The 20,353-nt window shown below is 53.0% G+C and overlaps 1 protein-coding gene across 6 annotated transcripts in view, besides 2 other annotated features; it reads left to right on the forward strand.

The window, feature by feature from the left end:
- Positions 1 to 20,353, forward strand: part of CREB3L1 (cAMP responsive element binding protein 3 like 1) — a 43,748-nt gene that overhangs the window by 14,732 nt on the left and 8,663 nt on the right. For 3 of the 6 annotated variants that reach the window (NR_189153.1, NM_052854.4, NM_001425266.1), the window contains exons 2-7: positions 7,542 to 7,770; positions 15,423 to 15,607; positions 17,596 to 17,674; positions 18,639 to 18,796; positions 19,932 to 20,081; positions 20,219 to 20,277. Coding sequence is in view for 5 of the 6 variants with exons in the window: in NM_052854.4 (NP_443086.1) it covers positions 7,542 to 7,770; positions 15,423 to 15,607; positions 17,596 to 17,674; positions 18,639 to 18,796; positions 19,932 to 20,081; positions 20,219 to 20,277 (860 nt within the window). In the remaining variant the exon portion in view is untranslated. Of the gene's footprint in view, positions 1 to 2,765; positions 2,941 to 7,541; positions 7,771 to 15,422; positions 15,608 to 17,595; positions 17,675 to 18,638; positions 18,797 to 19,931; positions 20,082 to 20,218; positions 20,278 to 20,353 lie in introns of those variants that run through there. The other 3 variants (NM_001425268.1, NM_001425267.1, NM_001425269.1) reach the window with 3 other exon arrangements.
- Positions 3,274 to 3,353: a silencer, noted in NCBI's record as "silent region_3301". NCBI's record gives its function as "represses an Ori minimal core promoter by ATAC-STARR-seq in GM12878 lymphoblastoid cells {active_cell/tissue: GM12878}" and the evidence as "EXISTENCE:reporter gene assay evidence [ECO:0000049][PMID:35858748]".
- Positions 14,119 to 14,814: an enhancer, noted in NCBI's record as "H3K4me1 hESC enhancer chr11:46328063-46328758 (GRCh37/hg19 assembly coordinates)". NCBI's record gives its function as "activates a minimal SCP1, AML or CMV promoter by ChIP-STARR-seq in naive H9 embryonic stem cells {active_cell/tissue: H9 hESC(naive)}" and the evidence as "EXISTENCE:reporter gene assay evidence [ECO:0000049][PMID:30033119]".

Raw genomic sequence — 20,353 nt, forward strand, 5'->3', positions numbered from 1 at the left:
TCACTCCGTGAATGCCTGAGCATCCACTGTGTGCGGGGACCAATGCTAGGCTTTGCAGATTCAAACGAGAATTGGACACAGCAAGACATATAGGCAATACGGCTGGATCATTTGAAGCTACACCAAGGAACCTGTACTCTATCCTAAGGGTAGTAGGGAGCCATGATTCACTGATGATGAGTACAAGTTCCTCATCAATGGAGCAGAGAAATGACATAGGACTTCTAAGTTTTAGAAGATCCCGTTTTTTAGAGACAGGGTCTTGCTCTGTTGCCCTGGCTGGAGTGTAGTGGTGTAATCATAGCTCACTGCAGCCTCAAACTCCTGGGCTCAAGTAATCCTCCTTCAGCCTCCTGAGTGACTGGGATTACCCACCACACCTGGCTAATATTTTTAAATTTTTTTTTTTTTAGAGATGGGATCTCGCTATGTTGCCCAGGCTGGTCTCAAACTCTTGGCCTCAAGCAATCTTCCCACCTTGGCCTTCCAAAGTGCTAGGATTACAAGTGTGAGCCCCCTTGAGTGGCCTAGAAGATCTCTCTTCATGTAAGGTGGAGAATGCTCTGGAGAGGGATCAGAGTTTGAGACTTGGACTTACCCTTCATTGTCACACCATTGGTCAGAAAGCCTTTTGAGAGCAGGAACTGGATCTTGTTCATCTCTGTATCCACAAAGCTGGGCACCCAGTAGGTGCTGAGTAAATACCGAACAAATGCATGAATGATGAATAAATGAATGTGACTAGATGCCCTTATTCTCCAGAGGCCCCTGCGCCAACCCCGGCACTCGGTTTCCGGTGTCCTAAGCTGCCCTGCAGGGATCCCCTGGCCGCTGCCTATAGACCAGCATCTCCAGCAGCCAGACCGTGGGCTGCTGTGCCCTCGGAGGTGCCAGACACAGCTAATCCCAGCCCTGGGCGGCGGCACTCGCTGCCATCGCTTCCTCCTGCCCAGACAGTGCCTGGTGCCCACCCCAGGGTTGGACCACAGCGCATGGGCTGCCTGGTAAGAAGATGCCAGGGGCTGGCTGGGAAAATGAGGAAGCTATGGCCTGACCAGGACAAGGTTACCAGTGTCAGGAGGGGCAATGGAAGGGCCAGACTAACAGGGCTAGGGGGCTGCAGAGAATACACACCCTCCCCAGGACTCTGCTCTGCCTTGAAGTAGCCCGCGGCTGGCGCCAGCCTGCTGATTCCTCTCTCCTTCCTTTCTCCAGCACACACTGGCAAAGAAAAGCTCAGTCCCCATGTTGGCGCTTTCTTCAGTCCCAGCCCTCAGTGTCCCAGCCCCATGCAAGCCCGGGGCTCCCAAATCTCCCTCACTGGTGTTCACATGACTCAGTCATCTCAGGCACTGAGATGCTGGCTTGGCAGCCAACATTTAGTTCTGTGGTTATGTGAGATGGTGTGTGTGTGACAGCGAGTATGCGTGACCATGTCTGTGTGATCCTGTGTCTGGGGTGACTTCGCATGTGTGTGAGCGTAGGGGTGTGAATCACTGTTTGTCTGATCACATCTGATGAGTGTGTCTTGTTGAGTTTGTGTTCATACCTGACAGCGTCAGCCTATGTGACTCTGTGAGGGTATCTGTATGTGTGATAGCGCCTGTACAAGGCTGCACATGGAACTGGCTGAATGTGTCGATGAGTGTACTTTTCACTATGTGGTGTCAGAGAGGTGGTGTTTCCCTGTGTACAAAGGAACCCCTCAGCCCACATCTGTGTAGCATGTGCACATGCATGCGTGCACACACACACCGAAGTATTTCTGCTTATTTGGACTTGGGATCTGTGGTGACCAGTTCGGTAGGGGAAAATATGAAACTTCAGCAGCCGCCTTCCCTAGGCCTATGGGGACTGGGGGCTGAGAGTGAGGTCGGGGGTCAGAACAACGTGCTCCCTTAACCCCCATACTCTGCCAGGAAGACTCAGGGAGGGACTGGCTCCAGGGACCAGGAGAACTGGTTTCACACCATCCAGTCCCCAAAAGGCCAGGGCAGAGGAAAAAGGCCCACGTTCTGAAGACTAATTCACTTTTCTAGGCCCCTGTCAACCGCGCTTCCATAAAGACACAGACTGTAATGGATGAGGAAACCGAGGCCAGGAGAGGAGACACCTGCCACTGCCCAGGTCTCAGAGCACACCTGGGTCTTGAATTAGGGCCTCCTGAGTTTCAGTTCAGTGCGTTTTCTCCTTCACAGGGCGGCTTTAGCTCTGGGAAGGCAAGGCCTGGGCCTCGTAGGAACCCCAGCTACTGGATGGCAATGCTTAAGGACAGGGGGGTCTGCTGACAACCGGGGACTCAAGGGGCCCACCTCCTCTCCCTGCTCTCACCACTCCCCGCCCCCTAGGCACAGCAGTGACTCAGACTGAAGGCCCTTCAGCTTGAAATGGGGACAATTTTCTAGTGACCACGAGGCAAGTAACCGTCCGGGAATGCATGGGTCAGTGTGTGTTGGGGTGTGGGGGGGTCTGTGGGCCCCAGCCTGCGGGGGGAAAGAAAGGGGGAAATGTGAGAGGCCTCTCCTCCCATCTCTCCCTAGCTCTCACTCTCTCGGAAGGAATGTCCGGGCTCAGGATTCCCCCCCACCCCTTATCCCACAGCTCAGCCTGGACCCGCTCTGGTCTCCTCCCTCCTTTCCCCAAGCACAGACTGAACCAGCCTGGGCCGGGGGAGGGGCAGAAGTTAGGAGTGGGGGTGCAGGCGCCAAGGAGCCAGGGACCTGAGGGAAGAGGGCGCGCTGAGGCTGCTTCTGGTCAGGGAAACCATTCTCCTACACCGACCCCAGCAGGCAGCTGCGCCCCCAGAGCTTTACCCTGTCTCTGCACTGACCTTGGGGAAGGAATTTAGGGAGGGGTAAAACAAGGCTAGAGCTGGTACCATTACTGCCCCGGGAGAGTCCCCTCTGCCGCCACCAGAGACAGCCACCAAAGCGCCCCACGGTAGGACGATTCGAGATGGAGCTGCAAGGGGATTTAAGGCCCGGCTCGCCCTTTGAGTCGGGGTCGTCGGGGAGACCCTCGGTCTCCACTTCTCCCTGCGGGGGTGGGGGCGGGGCCGCGCTACTGATGAGGGGTTTAGGACACCGTGAGACGGCCAGGCCATTTCTGCCTCGGCCCCAGACGCAGAAGGGGTCCCATGCAGGCCCGAGCCAGTGCACCCTGCGCTCCCTCAGCCGCGGGCCGTCGGCGCAGGCCGGGACCCTCCTCCGCGCGAGCCCTGCACTCCTCCGGTGCCCTCCACGCCGCCACCGGCTGCTGCTCGCAGCCTCCCGCCATTGGCCAGGAGCTCTGCGGCTCCCACCAGTGAGCAGGCCGGATTCCGGTGAGGGGCGGCCCCGGGTGTTCCCGGGTTAACCCTTTGTGGGCCGCTCCAGGACGGCGGCACCCGGATCCTTCTCTAAAATTTAAAGGGCGGGCGGCTGAGGCCAGGCTCCAAGAGAGGGTGCAGCCGAGAAGAGGGGTACGCAGGTCTGCAAGCAGGAGAGCTCGGGAACCTCTCCTCCAAGGGAGGGAAGCCGGCGCCGGCTGCGCGTGACAGCCGAGAAGGAGCTTATATTGGCACGACTATAGGAAAAAGTCTTTAACGAGGAGGGAAACAAATCATAATATGTCCTTCTCCGGCTTCCCACCCCCGTTGCCTGGAAAGGCACCCCTGTAGGACGCTCACCCCCTGCAGAACCCTGTCGCCCTCAGAGCGTTGACACATGGCTCCCCTGAAGTTCGTGAACTCCTGGCCGCCGACCCCTTGCTCTTGCTCCCCAATTTCCATCGGACAATCTAAACCTGAACTTTTGTGTGTGAAGTGGAGGGAGGGCTGGGTGTGGTTGGGGGTAGAGGGGACAAGGGGGCGTGCTGGAGCGGAGGAGGTCTGAGGTCTCCAAAATGGGCTTTCCAGGGATGGGGCCAAGTGGATGCGGTGGAAGGAGTGAGAGGACCAGAAGGTCCCGCACACGCCAGGGCAGCCCTGGACTTCACCAGCTCACTTTGCAGCCCCGGACATCACCAGCTCGCTCACTGTGCGTCCTGGGTAGCTGTGTTTCCCTCTCTGGACTGGAGTTTTCTCTACTAAGAAATAGGAGGGGGGGAACGAGGGGCAGGGGACCGTCGGGGAGCTTTCTCCCGTCCCTTCTGCCTCTAACTTGGTGATAGAAACCAACCCTACCTTAGCCGCCATGAGAGGCCAGGCATCAGACGGAACTAGGGCCGCAGAGCGCTCTAGGGGAGTCCCTGATGGCAGTGCTCCCAGGAGGGCGAGGTGGGCCTAGGGATGATGGGACGCGCCCACCGTCCACCCAGCACCTGAAGAAGCCCGGCGCAAAGAGGACCTGGGCGTCGGAGTGTCCTCCACCCCCACCCCGCCTGCCCCTTGGCCGCCCTCCCCTTCCACTTGGCTCCCGTTGCTCTGGAAGCTCCATCCTGCTGGGTTTTGGCTGCTGTTTCTAGCAGGTGGGGTGGGGACTGCTCACACAATGGGGCCAGCTGAGCTCTCTAAGCAGTTTCCTGTGGGCACCCTAAAAGGGTCTCTGGGAAGAACCTGGGTCATCTGCCTGAGCCAAGGCCTTCAGGGAGTCCAGCCCAGATCCGAGGAAGCATCTTTCCTCTCCCAGGCCCCAGGAAGGGGCTTGGCAAACCCTTATCGCCTGAGAAGCAGCTGCTGGAGAAATACCTTAGCGGCTGACTCACCGGCTCCCTCTGCTCACAGCCCCCTCCCACTGGGCCCAACACCAGGCCTTTGAGAGACCCTAAGGGAGAGAACTGGCGGAAGCGCCCCCAGCCGGCAGGCCCGGGCTCTGCGGAGGGTGTAGCCAGCGCGGCCCTGGCTGTGGCTGGCTGGGTGGTTGGGGGGTGGTTATACCCTGTAAATGGCCTCTGTCTGGGATCACAGTGATTCTTAGAAACTCATTCAGCTCTGACCTCCTGGTACTGCCTCACTCCAGGTATTGATGGACAATTGGTATGCTGATGGCATTGCCATCTGGGTTCTAAGGCCCTGTCCCTCCACCAGTATCATGAGCCAGGTGCTGGAAGGCAGCAGGTGAACAGGGTGCAAACCCTGCTTCAGGGCAATTACCGGACCGGGGAGGGTCTGCTGCAGTTGTAAAAGACTGGACAGTGAGGGATGGTGGGCACCTCCCTGCTGCATTAGCGCCCTTGGCCTCAGTTTCTCTCTCTGTCAAATGCCAATATGCATTTGTCTTGTCTCATTGGATAATTGTGAAGATTAAATGAAATAATGCATAGGAGAGCACTTTGGGTTAAAAGCACAACAGAAATGTAGGATGATGATTGATTGCTGGCAAACTGGGAAGTGGGAGAGTACCCCTGCCAATGGGGCTTCTGAGCTCATTTTGTCCTGGATTATCTCATCAGGCTTTGTTTGGAGGGAAAGGCCAAACATTCCCCCCACAACTCCCACCATTGGTTCCAAGCTCAGCTCGGGGACAGAGTTTAGGGGCTGCAGTTTTCATGATGACGATAACTAACAATGATCGAGCATTCACTCTGTAGCAGGCACTGTTCTGTGTTTTATATGTACAGTATTTACTCATTTTACCCTCATACTCCTATGAGGTGAGTACTAATCTAACAAAATTTTAGATCCTCATGGCAACACTATGAGGTAGGAACTATTATTTTCCCCTTACGGATAAGGAAACTGAGGCACGGGGAAGTTAAGCAACTTAGCAAGTGGTGGAGCTAGGAGTCAAAAGCACGTCTATGTGACTCCAGAGCTCGTGTTCATCTCCTACTCCATGCAGACAGACTCATGTGGCCCTGAACCTTATGCTCATACAGAAGGCTTCTCTGCTCATTACCTTCCAGGTTGGGACAGGCTCCCAATATTCCAGGCCAGAAAGGGCCAACAACTCCAGACCTTGAAGGAATCCCCTGGCACAAGCCTTTAACCACTCAGCAGGCAGGGCTTCAGGACCTAAGGCAGCCCCCCATCCCCCATCTCTTCTGACCCACCAGCAAATTCATTCGTTCAATAAATAAGGAACAAACAATAGAAACATTTATTGGACAGGCACGGTGGCCTACACCTGTAATCCCAGCACTTTGGAAGGCCGAGGCGGGCAGATCACTTGAGGCCAGGAGTTTGAGACCAGCCTAGCCAACATGGTGAAACCCCATCTTTACTGAAAATACAAAAAATTAGCTGGGCGTGGTGGTGCGCACCTGTAGTCCCGGCTGCTTGGGAGGCTGAGGCATGCAAATCACTTGAACCCGGGAGATGGAGGTTGCAGTGAGCCAAAATCATGCCACTGCACTCCAGCCTGGGTGACAGAGTGAGACTCTCACAAGCAAGACAGAAAGAGAGAGAAAGAAACATTTCTTTACACATTTATAATTCTTTAGAGAGAGAAAAATAATGTACAAGAACCTACCATATGTCAGCCACTGGAGTGCTTTACTAACAATAAGAGGCAACGTTTATTGAGTAATTACTATGTGCCAGGGACTGTTATAAGGCCTGTACGTGGATTAACTTGTTTAATCCTCATGACAATCTTGGAAGGTAGGAACTATTAATATTACCAGCTGTACAGAGGACGAAATGAAACAGAGAGGTTAATTGACCTTCCCAAGATCATGGAGACCAAGATTTTTCAGACTTTTTTGTTTCTAAGAAATATATTTTACATCATTACCAAGTACACACATGTGCGTTCACACACACAACTGTGATTTTTTTTAATTGCCAGGTATTTAACTCCACTGTGTGCTGTGCACTCTGATATTTTCTACTTTTTTTTTTCTGTTTTATTTTTACTTAAAATTCTGGTCGTGACCCACTAAATTGATTTCACAACCCATTAATGAGTCACCACCCACAGTTTAAACAGCACTGAATCATAGCTAGAAGGATGGAGGCCACCATTCGAACCTAAATAGTAGGGCTCCGGAGCCTAACCTCTCCATATAAAGGATGGCTTGGGAAAGGAGAGAGACCCCGAAGTCTTGAGGACAGATGGACACTGTGCTGCTGAGGAGACTGGAGGCCTCAAGAATCCCACTGCCCTGCATCACTCCCTTCCCACATTCCAGCAAAAGATCATACAAAATTCACTAATATTGCCTTTGGAAAACAAACTTGTTGGCGTAGACACACGGTTGTTCTTTTACTTTGTCTTCACATCAGCCTATGAAGGAAGTAAGAAGGACTGAGAAACTGACTCACGCAGTTTAAGTGATTTGACAAAGGTCACAGAGCCCAGTGTCCTGTTGCCTGGTCCAGGGAGTTTTTGATCCCATCCTGAGCTCACCCTTGCAGATAACAATGGTGAGCGTGGAGCTGGTGGTAGAGAGAATGGGATGACAGTGGTAACGGTCATGATGGAAATGATGAGAGTTGGTGTTGCAATGTTGGTACTGGGGAGATTGGTGATGTTGCTGATATTAATGGGAATGGGCACAGTAATGGGAGGTTGCAGGGACAGTGGTGGCCATGGTGGGGTGCTGCACCACCACAGTAGCACCTGCACCCCCTTCCCAAGCAAAGCTGAATTCCCTCTTCCCCTCACCTCTTCCTTCCCTAGCACTTTCCTGAGCACCTGGACCACTTTACGGAGAACATGGAGGACTTCTCCAATGACCTGTTCAGCAGCTTCTTTGATGACCCTGTGCTGGATGAGAAGAGCCCTCTATTGGACATGGAACTGGACTCCCCTACGCCAGGCATCCAGGCGGAGCACAGCTACTCCCTGAGCGGCGACTCAGCGCCCCAGAGCCCCCTTGTGCCCATCAAGATGGAGGACACCACCCAAGGTAAGAGGTGGAAGAACCTGGGGACAGCACAGGCCCAGGAGGCCCAGGAGGGAGGAAGCTCTGGGGTGACAAGAGAGTGTGCCTGCAGCCTGAGACTCCCAGAGGCTCCAAGAGGAGCCACCACAAACCCCTTAGGAGGTGCTCCTCCCTGCCTTTCTGTTCTCCCTCAGCTCAAAGCCAGAGGAGCACTTCTCAAAAGGGTTTTTTGCTGACTTAAGTCAGTGGTTTACAAAGTGTGGTTCCCAGACCAGCAGCATCACCTGGGAATCTGTTAGACATGCAGATTCTCGGGTTCCACCCCCAACCTGCTGAATCACAACCCTGTGGGTAGGGCCCAGCCTTCCAGGTGATTCTGATGCACACTCAGATTTGCAAACCGCTGACTTAGAGGAGACAGTGGGGGTAATTCAATAATAACTGTGGGGCCGGGTGTGGTGGCTCACGCTTGTAATCCCTGCACATTGGGAGGCCGAGGCAGGTGGATCACCCGAGGTCAGGAGTTCGAGACCAGCCTGGCCAACATATGGTGAAACCCCGTCTCTACTAAAAAAAAAATACAGGGCCGGGCGCGGTGGCTCACGCCTGTAATCCCAGCACTCTGGGAGGCCGAGGCAGGCGGATCACTAGGTCAGGAGATCGAGACCATCCTGGCTAACACAGTGAAACCCCGTCTCTACTAAAAATATTAAAAATTACCCGGGGGTGGTGGCGGGCGCCTGTAGTCCCAGCTACTTGGGAAGCTGAGGCAGGAGAATGGCGTGAACCCGGGAGGCGGAGCTTGCAGTGAGCCAAGATTGCGCCACTGCACTCCAGCCTGGGCGACAGAGCGAGACTCCATCTCAAAAAAAAAAAAAAAAAAAAAACCAACTAGCTGGGCGCGGTGGTGGGTGCCTGTAATCCCAGCTACTCGGGAGGCTAAGGCAGGAGAATCGCTTGAACCCAGCAGGCGGAGGTTGCCGTGAGCCATTGCACTCCAGCCTGGGTGACAAGAGCGAAACTCCGTCTCAAAAAAAAAAAAAATACAAAAATTAGCCAGGCGTGGTGGTGCGCTCCTGTAGTCCCAGCTACTTAGGAGACTGAGGCACAAGAACTGCTTGAACCCGGGTGGAGAAGGTGTAGTGAGCTGAGACCGCACCACTGCATTCCAACCTGGGCAACAGAGTGGGACTCCATCTCAAAAATAATAATAACTGGCTGGGTGCAGTTGCTCATGCCTGTAATCCCAGCACTCTGGGAGGCTGATGCGGGTGGATCACCTGAGGTGAGGAGACGAAGACCAGCCTGGCGAACGTGATAAAACCCCGTCTCTACAAAAATACAACAATTAGCCCAGCATGATGCCCTCCATCACATGGTGCCTCCATTACATGCTGCCTGTCATCCCAGGTACTTGGAAGGCTGAGGCAGGAGAATCACTTGAACCTGGGAGGCGGAGGCTGCAGTGAGCCAAGATTGCGCCATTGCAATCCAGCCTGGGCAACAGAGTGAGACTCCGTCCCAAAAAAAAAAAATAGACGGGGTGCTGTGGCTCACGCCTATAATCCCAGCACTTTAGGAGGCTGAGGTGGGCGGATCATTTGAGGTCAGGAGTTCAAGACCAGCCTGGTCAACATGGTGAAACTACTAAAAATAGAAAAATTAGCCAGGCGTGGTGGTGGGCACCTGTAATCCCAACTACTCTGGAGGATGAGACAGGAGAGTCACTTGAACACAGGAGGCAGAGGTTGCAGTGAGTCGAGATCAAGCCACTGCACTCCAGCCTGGGTGACAGAGTGAGACTCTGTCTCAAAAATAATAATAATACTATCCTGGCTAACAGAGTGAAACCCCATCTCTACTAAAAATAAAAAATAAATTAGCCGGGCATGGTGGCGGGTGCCTGTAGTCCCAGCTACTCAGGAGGCTAAGGCAAGAGAATGGCGTGAACCTGGGAGGCGGAGCTTGCAGTGAGCTGAGATTGCGTCACTGCATTCCAGCCTGGGCAACAGAGCGAGGCTCCGTCTCAAATAATAATAATAATAATAATAATAATAATAATAATAATAATAATAATAAGCTGTAGACAAGTTACCAAGACTCTAGAACCTCACTGCCTCCTCATACTATGTTGTCCTCTGAGACGCTACTTGAGAGAGATTCCTTCTTTTATTCCTGAAGGTAGCATTCTCTAAAGCTCTCCTCTCCCCCTAACTCCATCCTTTAAAGCAAAGAGCACCCTGAGTTCTTCCACTCAGGTAATCAGCATTCAAGACCCACATTGTGCCCCACTTAGAAATGGTCCCTTCGGGCATTTCCTCAAATACAGGTGGTCCTGGCTCTGTCGCTTTTGGCTACGTGATCACAGACATGTTGCTTAACCTCTGTAATCCTTAGTATCTATATCTACAAATGCAAATAACAATAAACATTTCTATAGTACTCTCCAGTCTACAGATTGCCTTCATGTTAATTATCACATTTATTTCTCATGACTGACAGGTGAGGTTGGAATCACTTTTATCATAATCTCCATGTGACCGATAAGAAAACTGAGACTTGGCCGGGTGCAGTGGCTCACGCCTGTAATCCCAGCACTTTGGGAGGCCAAGGCAGGCAGATCACGAGGTCAGGAGTTCGAAACCTGCCCGACCAACATGGTGAAACCCCATCTCTACTAAAAATACAAAAATTCACCAGGCATGGTGGCGTGCGCCTGTAATTCCAGTTACTCAGGAGGCTGAGGCAGGAGAACTGCTTGAACCCGGGAGGCGGAGGTTGCAGGGAGCTGAGATTGCACCACTGCACTCCAGCGGAGGTGACAAAGCGAGATTCTGTCTCAAAAAAAAATAAAAAAGAAAACTGAGACTTCACAAAAGCTCAGTTGTCTAGGTCACGCCCACAGTAAAATGCAGAACAGAGACATAATAGCACACCCTGATTCTCAACCGCAAACCCTTGCCACCACCACATTTGCCAGTCAAGAAGGGCAGCCAGGGCTATTTGGTTGGGACCCACAAGGGCATTGGTGTGCATCCCCGTGTCTCCACCAGCCACTGGGTGATCTTGGGCAAGTTACTTAACCTCTCTAGGCCTCTGTTTCCTCAGTGATAAAATGAAAATAATATACGCCTTGAGAGTTCTCGTCAGGCTTAAAAATATATATATACAAAATACCCTGCTAAGTGCCCAGCACATAATATATACATCAATAATTAGCAGCAGCCAAGTGCAGTGGCTCAGGCCTGTAATCCCAGCACTTTGGGAAGCCGAGGCAGGAGGATTGCTTGAGCCCAGGAGTTCAAGACCAGCCTGGCCAACAGATGAAATCCTGTCTCTACTAAAAATACAAAAATTAGTTGGGAGTGGAGGTGTGTGCCTGTAATCCCAGTTACTCAGGAGGCTGAAGCAGGAGAATCGCTTGAACCCAGGAAGCGGAGGTTGCAGTGAGCCGAAATCATGCTACTATGCTCCAGCCTGGATGACAGAGTGAGACTCTGTCTCAAAAATTAATATAAATAATAATAATTAGTGACTATTTTCACTGTGCACATAAAAGTCCTATGAATACTATGGGTGGGCCAGGCATGCTGAGTCACACCTATAATCCCGGCACTTTGGGAGGCCGAGGCAGGAGGATTGCTTGAGCTCAGGAGTTTGAGACCAGCCTGGGCAACATAGCAAAACACCTTCTCCACAAAATTAAAAATTAAAAAATTAGCCAGGCATGGTGGCACATGCCTGTAGTCCCAGCTACCTAAGAGCCTGAGGCAGGAGGATATCTTAAGCCCCGGAGGTCGAGGCTGCAGTGAGCTATGATGGCACCACTGCACTCCAGCCTAGGCGACAGAGCAAGACCCTGTCTCAAAAAGAAAAAAAATAAAACAGAAACACTATGGGTGCTTGTAACAATGAACAGTGTTCTTCTTATTCCTCTTTCCCTCTAAAGGACCTGGTCTTGAGTGAATTTCTTAATTTTCTCACTTGTTAAATGGTGAGAACAATGGTGCCTGCCCCCAGAGAGTTGTTGGGAGGAGTAAAGAAGCTCATTTGCCTGGGCGCGTGACTCACGCCTGTAATCCCAGCACTTTGGTAGGCCGAGGAGGGTGGATCACCTGAGGTCAGGAGTTCAAGGCCAGCCTAACCAACATGGAGAAACCCCGTCTCTACTAAAAATACAAAATTAGCCGGGAGTGGTGGCGCATGCCTGTTATCCCAGCTACTCGAGAGGCTGAGGCAGTAGAATCGGTGAACCCGGGAGGCAGAGGTTGCGGTGAACTGAGATCGCACCATTGCACTCTAGCCTGGGCAACAAGAGCGAAATTCCATCTCAAAGAAAAAAAAAATAGAAGCTCATGTGTGACAAGGGCTTAGAGCTGTGCTCAGCGCAAGAAGTGTGAGCTGCGTCTGATAGTCTTTGAGATTCCCTAGGGGCAAAGACAAACCTTTGTACCTCCCCCCAAACCCCATGAAGGCAGGGACATCCGCCCCTCTTAGGTCAGCCCAGCAACTCCTTAGCCACCCTAAGTCTTTTTTTAATTATTAATTTTTTGGGGGGGGCGGGCAGGGTGACAGGGTCTTACTCTGTCACCCAGGCTAGAGTACGGTGTTGCAATCTTGGCTCACCTCCTGGCCTCAACCTCCTGGCCTCAAGCGATCCTCCCACCTCAGCCTCCCAAATTGCTGAGATTACAGGCATGAGCCACCACACCCAGCTCCCACGTCTATTTTTAAAGCAATTTGTCTGTGGGCCCTTTGCAGGGGGCAGCTTCCCGGAGGCCGGTGGCCAGGCCCTGTAATTTGGGAAGATTGTGGGTATTCCTGGAGCCCATGGGCAGCCTGTGGCCCAGAGCTGGGGCACTCAGGCTCCCAACAGGGTGCGGCCTGGCCTCCAAGGTGGTCAATCAGCCACTACTGCCTCTCCCCGACCACAGCAGGCCCCAAAGTCCAGAGTCCCCTCCAGCCCTGCCTTGAATGTTGGCTCCCCTCCCCTCTCCCCTGTCTTACCCGCTGCTTCAATGGCTACCAGGCAGTGTGGCCACCATGAACAGGGCTGACTTAGAGTGGAAGACTGTGGGCACCCATCAGGAAAAGGGGTGATGCCTGCCAGCCCTATTGCCCAGGTGAAACCAGGAGGCCCACTAGGTGGGCAGGAGGTGGGTTCTTCCCTCAGGAAATCTAAGCCTCACCTCTCACTGCTCCCCACCGCTCCCCACCGCCGCCTCCTCCACCCGCCTCATACCCCCAGTCACTGGGTCCTGTGGATGCTTCCTTCTAAATCTGTTCCCTCCTCTCCATCACAACTGCCACTGCCTTTGCTCAGGCCTCCCCTTCTCTCTCTCCTGGCCGATTTCAACACTTCCTGCAGTTCTCCCTGCCTCCATCTTGCCTGCAGCCAGTCTAGTCCCCACACGAGGGCAGAGTGATCTTTTATATATATATATATGTATATATACACACACATATATATGTGTGTGTGTATATATATGTATATATATACATATATATGTGTGTATATATGTGTGTATATATATGTGTGTGTGTGTATATATGTGTGTGTGTGTGTGTGTGTGTGTGTGTGTGTGTGTGTGTGTATATATATATATATTTTTTTTTAAGACGGAGTCTCGCTCTGTCGCCCAGGCTGGAGTGCAGTGGCGCAATCTCGGCTCACTGCAAGCTCCGCCTCCCGGGTTCATGCCATTCTCCTGCCTCAGCGTCCCGAGTAGCTGGGACTACAGGCGCCCGCCACCATGCCCAGCTAATTTTTTGTATTTTTAGTAGAGACGGGGTTTCACCATGTTAGCCAGGATAGTCTCGATCTCCTGACCTCATGATCCGCCCGTCTTAGCCTCCCAAAGTGTTGGGATTACAGACGTGAGCCACCGCGCCAGGCCATATTTTTTTAATTGATTTAATTTTAGAGATAGGGTCTCGCTCTGTCACCCAGCTGGAGTGCAGTGGTCTGATCATAGTTCACTGCAGCCTTGAACTCTTGGGCTCAAGCGATCCTCCTGCCTCAGCCTCCCAAAGCTGGGATTATAGGCGTGAGCTACCGCACCCAGCCATAATCTTTCTTAAAATTGCAAATTTGGGCCAGGTGCAATAGCTCATGCCTGTAATCCCAGCACTTCAGGAGGCCGAGGTGGGTGGATCACTTGAGTTCAGGAGTTCGAGACCAGCCTGGGCAACATCTCTACAAAAAAATACAAAAATTAGCTGGGCATGGTGGCATGCGCCTGTAGTCCCAGCTACTTAGGAGGCTGTGGCGGGAGAACCAATTGAGCCAGGAAGGTCAAGACTGCAGTGACTCATGATGGCACCACTGCACTCCAGCCTGGGCGAATGAGTGAGATCCTGTCTCAATAAAAAAAAAAAAAAAAATTGAGCACATACAAAACTCTTCAGCGGCTCCCCATTTGCTTTAGGATAAAGTCACATCTCTGAACTAACCCAGCCTCCAAGGCCAAGCCACCCCCACTGGCCTCTCTGACCCCATCTTCCACTCCCCTTTGCATTCCAACTATGCTAAACTGCTTGTGACTCTTGCTATATCCCCAGCATCTAGCACAGTAAATGTTTACTAAATAACAGTAGTTGTATTAACACTGGCTTGTATTTATTGAACACTTACTCTTTTTTTTTTTTCAAGACAGGGTCTCACTCTGTCTGTCTAGGCTGGAGTGCAGTAGCACAATCTTGGCTCACTGCAACCTCCTCCTCCCAAGCAATTCTCTCTCTTTTTTTTTTTTTTCAGACAGAGTCTCACTCTTGCCCAGGCTGGAGTGCAGTGGTGCGATCTCAGCCCACTGCAACCTCTGCCTCCCGGGTTCAAGTGATTCTCCTGCCTGCCTCAGCCTCCTGAGCAGCTGGGACTAACAGGCACGTGCCGCCACAACTGGCTAATTTTTGTATTTTTAGTAGAGACAGGCTTTCACCATGTTGTCCAGGCTGGTCTCAATCTCCTGGACTCAAGCGATCCACCTGCCTTGGCCTGTCAAAGAACTGGAGTACAGGCATGAGCCACTGCACCTGGCCGCTCAAGTGATTCTCCCACCTCAGCCTCCTGAGTAGCTGGGATTATAGACACACACCACCACACCTAGCTAATTTTGTGTGTGTGTATTTTTTGTAGAGATGGGATTTCGCCATGTTTCCCAGGCTGGTCACGAACTCCTGGGCTCAAGCGATCTGCCTGTCTTGACTTCCCAAAGTGCTGGGATTACAGGAGTGAGCCACGGCGCTCAGCCTGAACATTTACTTCTCACCAGTGTTAAGTATTAACACTCACAGTGTTAAGTGTCTTATGTACATTATACTACTTAAGCCTCAGAACTTCTGTATTAGGTACGTCCTGTTCCTTTCCCCATTTTGCAGATGAAGAAGCTCAGGCTCAGAGAGGTTAAGCAACTAGCCTAAGGTCACACACACAGCCAATCAAGAGGAGTGTGAATCTGGTGCCCAAGCTCATTCTGTAAGCTGCTGAATGAAGAGGATGTCCTCACCTCTTCTGGCCCCAGACAACTCCTCCTCACCTCACAACCACCCTCTTTCCTGCCTGCCCCCTGGTCTACCCTAACAGCTCTCTTCAGTTCAGCCTAGGGTAGCTCCCAGGGGGCAGGCAGGGGGCTGAGACCTCTGCCCTAGAGTCCCCTGAGCCTTTCCCCTTCCCCTAGATGCAGAGCATGGAGCATGGGCGCTGGGACACAAACTGTGCTCCATCATGGTGAAGCAGGAGCAGAGCCCGGAGCTGCCCGTGGACCCTCTGGCTGCCCCCTCGGCCATGGCTGCCGCGGCCGCCATGGCCACCACCCCGCTGCTGGGCCTCAGCCCCTTGTCCAGGCTGCCCATCCCCCACCAGGTGAGCCTGGGAACTGTTTGTAGCGGCTGAGGGAGGGAGGAGGGCTGGTGGGTCTGTGGGAAGAGGTGCCCAAAGCCCTGTGCCCTGGGGCTCTGTGAACAGGAAGACATGAGCCTCAGGGCTGAGGGTGGGAAGCCCCCGCCCAGCCCAGGCCTCCGCCTACCCCCCTGGCTGCCCCCTCACCATACCGCAACGGGCACAAGCCACAGCCCCCTTGGAGTAACTGAGGCTCTCGTCTGTGCAGAAAAAGACAGCTTGCAGGGCTCCAGGCAGGGGTGGCATCAGGAGCCCAGTCCAGGGTCTCAGAGGTGGAGACAGCCCAGGCCACTGACTTTTCTCAAAGCTTCAGTATTTTTAAAAAAGAAAAAAGACCAAAAAGGAAATTACAAAAAAAAGTGTGCTATATTCCAATTGTTTACATTTATGAGATTAATATTTTTAACCCACACTCTCAGGCTGAACTCCCTCCTCCACCAATGTGTAGATGACAGCATTCAGCTATAAACCCAAGACCCCTCTGGGAATGTGAACCCCAGACCCCTGGCTCCTAGCCGAGGTCCTGCCTGAGTCCCAACTCGGTGCCTCCTTTGTGTTCTGGGCATGTTGCACATCCTCCTTCTCTGTAAAAGGGGCTCATGAACCCCCTAAGGTGCTTCTAGCCCTGGGATTCCACAGGATGAGCAGCATCTTAAAATCCCTAGATGGGAGCGTGGCTGGCCCTGCCCCCTGCTGGCCACACGGCTCACTTGCTCTAACTGTACGTGGCTGAAGGCAAGAAAGGTCAGCCCCTCCCTGCCCCACCACAGACCCGTGGGATCAAGGGTCGGCGGCAAATATGCAGGATCTTTTGAGACCATCTCCAAGACTGGCTCTGAGACTCCTCAGGCCTTGCCAAAGCAGGAAGGGATGGAGTGACAGCAGCAGCAGCCAGGGAAGAGGAGACTTCAGAAAGGGAAACTGAGGCTCAAGGGGTTAAGTAATTTGCCCAAAATCATGCAGTTAGAAGCAACTGACATGCCTTCCAAATTCGGCCTGCCAGACCCTGAAGCCCACGCGAGTGAGGTCATAACCCCTAGTGGAAGGCACAGGAGCTGGCATTGTCAACAGTGAGCTCTCTGCACCGCAGTCCCCTCTCTGTCACTTGAGGGCTGAGCTGGGATGTAGACCAAGGAATCTCCAAGGTCCCTGCCAACTTGAACCTTCTGGGATTCTTACTCATCAGCCTACATTCTGGATTCTGCGTCCCACCCACAATATCATGATCTCTCTGGGGCTGCAGCCCAGGGCCTGCAATCCAGCCCCCAACAACGCCTTCCTCAGACAGAGCACCACTTACTTGCATGTTGGTAGTCATGTGTACAAAGCCATGCATGCTCTTGAAGTCCTTTCTGGAACAACAAGTCAGAATAGAAATAAAGAGAAATGCATGTTTGTTAAAAATGTCCATCTGATTCTATCAAGCCCTTACTTCAACCCATTAGGAGCTCTCATTGCCTCCAACTTCTTTGTCTAGATTCTACTTCTATTTATACCCCGGGACTCATTTCAGACTTTGACTTCTCAGGGAGCATCCTCGGAGCCCCCAGCCAATTAATGCCTCCTTCTGTACTACTGCTACCAGCCATTGAACAGCTACACTGTTCCAGACATTACCTCTTGTTTTATTCTCATGGCAACCCACATACCAAAGCCTGTGTGGCCTTCACAGTTGGTGTGGAAGGTGGCCCCACACTCAGAGGCTCACCTTCTCTGAGCTTAAGGTCTGAGCTACACTGCTTGGCCAGCAATCCTTTCTCTTAGGTGTGACTTGGCTTCTTTAAGCTCAAGAGCTTGCCTCTGTTCCCTTGCAGCTGTGCCCAGAACTCCAAGCCCAGCCACTTCCCCAACTGTGCAGGGCAGGCAACCAGCTTTAGGGAGGAGGTGGGTAGATGGCATGGTGGGGACAGACCCAGGGGCAGCTAATGGAGCTGGGCTTGTCTGTTCCTCAGGCCCCGGGAGAGATGACTCAGCTGCCAGTGATCAAAGCAGAGCCTCTGGAGGTGAACCAGTTCCTCAAAGTGACACCGGGTAGGTGTGTCCAGGGGAAGGGCTCTTTTCCCCTCCAGTCATAGGCAGATAGCATCCCCACTTCCTTGGTTCAGCCCATCCCTATCTCTTGACAACCTTCCCCCACCCAGAATATCCTCTCCACCCTGCCCTACCCACTGTCCCTCCATCCATGCCCACTCTTCGTCTAGTCCTCTTCGTTTTTGTTTTTTGTTTGTTTGTTTGTTTGTTTGTTTTTTGAGATGGAGTCTCACTCTGTCACCCAGGCTGGAGTACCATGGCACGATCTCAGCTCACTGCAACCTCCCCATCCCAGGTTCAAGCAATTCTCCTGTCTCAGCCTCCTAAGTACCTGGGATTACAGGTGCCCACCACCACGCCTGGCTAATTTTTGTATTTTTTAGTAGAGACGGGGTTTGGCCATATTGGTCAGGCTGGTCTTGAACTCCTGACTCAGGGGATCCACCTGTCTCAGCCTCCCAAAGTGCTGTGATTACAGGGGTGAGCCACTGCACCCAGCCTTCGTCCAGTCCTCTTCTTGCCCAATCTACTGCTGCCATCGCTCCTGCTTGCCCAGCCTGACCCTATGAGAGAGAGGCCCCAGTCACCTTCTGGGGTTGCTGAGCTAGAGCTTAGTGATCTTCTGGAGTTGCTGAGCTTAAGGCCCTGAACCCTGTGAAGTCAGAGGTCACAGAGGACCTCCCACGAATTCAGCTCCTATGATGTCTATGCCAAGGGCGAGCTTGTAAAGGAGCTGGGCCTCTGTGGTGTCAGATGAGGCAGCACCCAGGAATTGGCTACCCAGATGTCAACTGTCTTTCTGACCCTGCAGAGGGGCTTCTGATGTCATAGCTGAGACCAAGCGCCTGGCAGTCCGTGTCCCACAATGTCAGGGCTGGTGCAAGCTCATGCTCAGCTGAACTCATGATGTCCAAGTGGAGCTGATGTGCAACGTTGCTAACTCGGTTTCCCCTGCTCTCCCCAGAGGACCTGGTGCAGATGCCTCCGACGCCCCCCAGCAGCCATGGCAGTGACAGCGACGGCTCCCAGAGTCCCCGCTCTCTGCCCCCCTCCAGCCCTGTCAGGCCCATGGCGCGCTCCTCCACGGCCATCTCCACCTCCCCACTCCTCACTGCCCCTCACGTAAGGAGCTGGGGGTGGGCTGATCCCAGAAATGAGGAATTGAATACATCCACCTGAGCACACTGGCCAGTCAGGAGGGTTTGGGGAGCCCCGAGACTGATCCCCACCCTCATCAGAATTCAGAGGGATGCTTACCTGGCAGATGGGAGTTCTAATCCTTTTATTTTTGAGTCTTGCTCTGTTGCCCAGGCTGGAGTGCAGTGGCTCAATCTCGGCTCACTGAAACATCTGCCTCCCAGGTTCAAGCAATTCTCCTGTCTCAGCCTCCCAAGTAGCTGGAATTACAGGCACTTGCCACCGTGTCTGGCTTTTTTTTGTTTGTTTTTTTTTTTTGAGATGGAGTCTCGCTCTGTCGCCTGGAGTGCAGTGGCACGATCTCGGCTCACTGCAACCTCCACCTCCAGGGTTCAAGTGATTCTCCTGCCTCAGCCTCCCGAGTAGCTGGTATTACAGGTGCACACCACCACCCAGCTAATTTATGTACTTTTAGTAGAGACAGCATTTCACCATGTTGGCCAAGCTGGTCTCAATCTCTTGACCTCTTGATCTGCCCACTTCAGCCTCCCAAAGGGCTGGGATTACAGGCGTGAGCCACCGCATCTGGTCAGGAATTCAAATCCTTTCGCCCTGCCTCATGGTGAACAGGAGACTATTGCAGAGCCAGGACTAGAACTTGACATTCCTGACCTCCAGGGGATGACCCAGGCTGCCTCCAAGGAGCGCTGTGTGAGGGGAAGTGCCCAGATGGTCCAGAATCCCCAGGAAACATGGAGCTAGGCCCTGAGCCCTGGGATGGGTGTGGAGTCTCCCAAGCCAAGATTGTAGGGAGGGGTCTGAGGGAGATGCTGTTTGGGGCACCCTGGACAAGTAAGCTTTGAGGGTGCAGTCTCAGGGATGGGATCCAGGAAGCCCTCCCGAACAATGCACTAAGAGCCTAACACCTGAGCTCTCAGCATGGCCCTGGCACCTGACACATGTTACTGAATTTCACCCAGATCCACTCCCTTTCCAGATGAGGAAACTGAGGCATAGAGCATTGTGTGCCTTGCCCAGGTCATATAGATAGCACATGGCAGAGCTTGAATTTGAACCCAGGGCTGCCTGGCTCCTAACTACCACATCATACTTCCTACAGAAATTACAGGGGACATCAGGGCCACTGCTCCTGACAGAGGAGGAGAAGCGGACCCTGATTGCTGAGGGCTACCCCATCCCCACAAAACTCCCCCTCACCAAAGCCGAGGAGAAGGCCTTGAAGAGAGTCCGGAGGAAAATCAAGAACAAGGTAAAGCCTGCCACCCTGGGGCTTCAGAGGGCTTCCTTGGTGGGTGGGCTCCCCTGGCATACCAGCTCTGAAATTGGGGGGCCCAGGAAGTGAATATGTGGCAGTGCTAACCCTTGTTTTCGGGCCTCCCCCTCTAGATCTCAGCCCAGGAGAGCCGTCGTAAGAAGAAGGAGTATGTGGAGTGTCTAGAAAAGAAGTAAGGGGCTTGGGAGGGGTGGGCAATCCACTCCCTTGCCTGACCTGCCCTCCCCTAGGCCCTCCCTCAGGGGGCA

Source organism: Homo sapiens, chromosome 11 (assembly GCF_000001405.40).
Source record: "Homo sapiens chromosome 11, GRCh38.p14 Primary Assembly".
NCBI lineage: Eukaryota > Metazoa > Chordata > Mammalia > Primates > Hominidae > Homo > Homo sapiens.